Raw genomic sequence first — 4,778 nt, 5'->3', positions numbered from 1 at the left:
TTAGTCACATATACTACAATTTCCCTCCACATACACTCTATACATCAGTTAACTAATGATTCTTCCCCTTTTGTGCCCTGAATCCTCCTGCCAATTTTTTCACTTTCATTATTCTGTCTCCTAAAATGCCTACTTAGCAGTTTCTGTGACGGATACAACTAGTGCTCAACAATTTCCATGTTCTTGTATACTTTCTTGACATACTTTGAGACTACATGTCCAGGACCTGTGTATGAGGGTGGTGGTGTATAACTCAGTCTTACAATGAAATGTGAGCAGAAGTAAAATATATGGTAAATATGTGATCAAAAATTATATATGAGGTTTTTTGGGTTGGTTGTTTCTCTCTACACTTTCTCTTTTCTTATCCAACAAAATTCAGTGGAGGATTCCTAAGACCATACAAGATATTGAGCCACTAGATGGAAGGGAAGCCTGCTTCTCAGATGAATGCAAGAGCAGAACCTCTCTATTGACCTATGACGACTGGCAACTTAACAAGAATTAACACTTTACTATGTTAAGCCACCAAGATCAAGAGAGTATTCTAGTAACTAGCTTACTCTGACAAAAATACCTACCTATCTTCCAAAACTTAGATAAATTGCTTGCTCAACTCTAATTGTGTCTTCAAACTGGTCCCCATATCTCCCTTATTAATTCCCCAATTATTTCTTCAAACTGGTCATTCCCAATTGTTCCTTCAAACTGGTCCTCACACCTTCCCTATGTGAAGTACAGTACTTTTCCTTGTAAGTTGTTCTGAGTAGTTTTATGAAAGAGCTGTTCCATAAACTCTGTTTCTAGTCTACAATGAAATAAAAAACATGCACCAGAATGTAAATCAAGGTGATGCTTACCTCACTGGTAAAATGTTGTTATAAAAAGAGAAAAAAAAGTCAGCTGATCTAAATGTGTGCTCAGTGATGTGTTTGATTTATATTCTTCTATTCTCATGAATCAGTAACAAAAAGTTTATAAACTTCCAGTAGTATGGAAACTGGATTTTTGAGTAGCTCTGTTTTAGAGCAGGAATGGTTGTCTATTAGCTTACATTTGACTTATGTCTTATCTTCACTGCTAGATTGTACATACTTTGCATCTGGAATTATATTTTATTCATCATAGATTTTTCCACATTGTCTGGAAAACAGCAGATGTTCAGTAAGTGGAAAATAAATGAATGTAAATAAGTAAATTTGATGTGTTTTGAAGAAGTACATGAAATGTCATTGGGTAATGAATCTTTCAGGAATCACTAGGTGATCACCAAAGGATACATGTTTTATGGGTAGTCTTCTTGTGTTTTCTTCTAGGTAAGCACTTCCGTTTGGGGGGAAATTTTGTCCCTTAGGGGATATTTGGCAATCTCCAGAGATATTTTTGTTTATTGTAATTGGAAGGGGTGTTATTGGCATCTAGTAGATAAAGACCAGAGATTCTGTTAAATATCTTATAATGCATAAAGCAGAACCCCACAACAGACTTAGTGCAAATGTCCCAAATTATACCAACATGTCAACAGTGCCAAAGTTGAGAAACCCTGATCCAGACCCCTAAAATCTAAGTACTATTTCAATATATCCAAAGGATATAAATCCAAATGACACTGGTCCAACATTTTGCAATATCAATTGGTGTTCAAAAATACGTAGTCCCATAAAATAAATGTAAAGACATTTTATTAAGCAGGAAAGGTATTTATTGAAATAGAGTTGCAGCCACTTGGCTGTTTACTGAATGATGTTTTCTCTGTGCCTAGCACTGGTGTGCATCCTGTGGAATTTATAAAGGAAGCTTGAGAGTCAGCCCCTGATCTTAAAGACTTAGTAGTCTAGTTGGAGCAATAAATGAATGATGCAAAATATTATGACAGACTATTTAACTGCTAAAACATGTGATAACATTTAGACTTTTTGTGCAACTGAATTCTGAAAGCAGGGAAAGGGCATATATACCTCAATAAGAAAACCAATAACTCTGAATACATGTTCTATTATTGATCATTGTCAATATTTTGACTTATGTCCTATGCCTTATTATTCTTTCACACTTAGAAATATATTTTGGGGTTAAGTGAAATAGCTAAAAGGAAAAAAGTTCCTTTCCAAAATCATTTTGTCCTTAGGGTAGAGGAAGAAAAGGCCTGGTGGATTAACAGGTAGCCATTCCTTTACTGAAGGGATATATTCTCTCAGACACTCATTCTGTTCTTTTCTTGCCATCCTTCATCACCCTGCCAGATACGTTAATGATCAAGTGTAGCCTGCAAGAAAAAGCAGTTTCTTCTCCTTTCAGGAGCTAGTGTACAATTAGTCTCTTGCAAGAGTCTCCTTTTCATCCCACTGGAGAAACAGAATGGTGGAATAGGAGTCACACTATGTTTTTTTTTTAACTCTTGAGTTTTTACAGAAGAGATCTAAGGTCTAGTGGGCATTAGGAGCTGAAAAAGGAAAAAGCTGCTCATTTGCCCAATAAGTCATAAGAGAACTAGACAATCATCTATTCACTTAATTTAGCATGTGATAAAACTGAGACCTAAAGAGTGGAATAATTTCTGAAGGCCACTCAGTATGTGAGTGACAAAAGTAAGAGCTTTGAAACTCGTGCTTTTTCCAATAATGTTCGGAGCCCAAGAGCTGAATGAATCCAATCACTGTGGTTCTTTTTGAAGATCAGAGAAGAAAAACTAGGAAGGAAGATTGAAATGGTTAAGGGATCCCTGGTTCTCCAAATAACCCAGAACTCCACCCACATATTGGGAAAGCACCCCAACTTCCTCTCATTTTCCAGCTTTTTTGTTCAGACCTATATGGAGTTTCATTAGTGAACACAATTGTCAGGTACCTCCAACAGGGAAATATAGTTTTTTAAACGACCTCCTCCCCTCAACAGAAGGACAATTGTTGGCCTTGAACAGAAGGGAGTGGTTGGTGGCTGGCGAGAGAGAAAGCTTCAGCCCTAGTTCCATGCCTTTCTGGTTTTGATTGCTTAAATTAAGCCCTGTACCTATCTCCATGATAGCTCTTATTAATATGTATTTATTATAATTGTCTAGATGCTTGTCACCCAACAAGATTCCCAGCTTCCTAAGAATGGTTTCATGACTGTGGCACTGTTGACATTGGGGTTGAATGATTCTTTGTTATGTGATGGTCCTGTGCATTGCAGGATGTTTAGCAGCTGCCCAGGTCTCTACCCACTGGATGCCAGTAGCACCGCACCACACCACCACCAAGTTGTAACAACTAAAAATGTCTCTGCACATTGACAAATGTTTCTTGGGGTGGAAGGTAAATAAAAGACCTTTTCTGGTTGAGAACAGCTGTCCCTAAACATGAATATGATGTGTTAATCACCTTTGAATCCTAGCACACAGCTCAGTGGATCATGAACAATGGTGCTCACCAAAGATTTCACCAATCAATCTGATAATTCACTGGAGTATAGGAGCTTAAGTCTCAGAAGTGATGCATTACCTACATTTGCTAGGTTAATATGAAGGAGCACTTCTTCCCCCCAAAAGATCTCCTTTTGGAGTGCCTTCTAGTTCTATTATTATCTGTAATAAGGGTATTTTAATTTTGTAGGTCCTCATCAATAATTCTCAAGGTTCTTGTGCAAAAGAATCAACTAGAACACCAGTCATCAACACTTGATACACCCACCAGTGAAGCTTTTAAAAATGTAAACACAATCTGTGTCCATTGTTACTAGTAATGGTCCTATTCTAGGGCCTTGTCCTAGTTCATCTGGGATGCTAAATTCCAGGTGGTCGGTGATGATTGCCACAATAATCAGTTTGCTCTCAGGAGAAAAAAATAAATAACAAAGACATTCAAGGGTTGTACAAGGATGGGGGAAAATGAATTGCAGAACTTATCTGTAACCATTCTCCCAGCTTCAATAACCCTGACGCCCTTAATGAGAAAGAAATACCAAGGCACAGCTGGGGATTAAAGTCAAGCCTCCCAGGCCCCTGCATGTTTTATACCAGCAACTCTCCCAGGCACAAACCATACAGAACCCAGGCCGAATGCAAGCCCTCAGGGCCTGGCCCTGGCAGTCAGACTGGATTAGAAGAGAATGCAAATCTGACTCCACTAGGAAGAAAACACAAGGCATCAGGGTAGCAGTCGCCTCTCTTCTGCATTGTTGGGAACAATCGCTACCGTTTCAGGAGCAGAGACAGCAGCCCTTGTGAAATTTGTTCTCCACTTGCTGAGCTTCAGTTTAAATTGGAAACTCAATTTATTGCTGTGCCCCTTCAGAAGTCAGTGGTGGAGCTAATGGGAGATTTAGATTTAGTGAAAGTGGAAGTGGGGAGGATGGGAAGGAGTTGCATGGAGAGTAAACAAGGGAACTGCTGGAGGGAAGTAACCACAGAAAGGGTTGTGGGTATGAGGAGCAGTTCCCTCTTCTATCCTCTGCACTTTGCTTCTTGCTAAGTGTCTCTTTTAATGAGGTACCCCAGTATTGTAGTGTTTTCCTGCAGGGCAGAGAGGGAGGAAGTGTGACAACAGTTTCATTAGGCCAAAGAGCAAGATAAAGCCCTTGGGCTCCTGTGCCTCCAGCCTGAGTGTCCCTTGTGGTGGTAGTTAAGCCCCTCTCCTCACAGGAAAGGGCACATGGAAGAGAGCAGTTTCCATTGGGGAGCTCACAGAAACCAAAGATTGGGGGCCTGTTAAATTGCCTCCAGCCCTGCCTTTCACCACTGACTCCCTGTGACCTTAGGCAATTCCTTTAACCTCTCTGAGCCTTAATTTTCTCTTTGGTTA

Source organism: Homo sapiens, chromosome 6 (genome assembly GCF_000001405.40).
Source record: "Homo sapiens chromosome 6, GRCh38.p14 Primary Assembly".
Lineage (NCBI taxonomy): Eukaryota > Metazoa > Chordata > Mammalia > Primates > Hominidae > Homo > Homo sapiens.
This window is presented reverse-complemented; position numbering follows the sequence as displayed.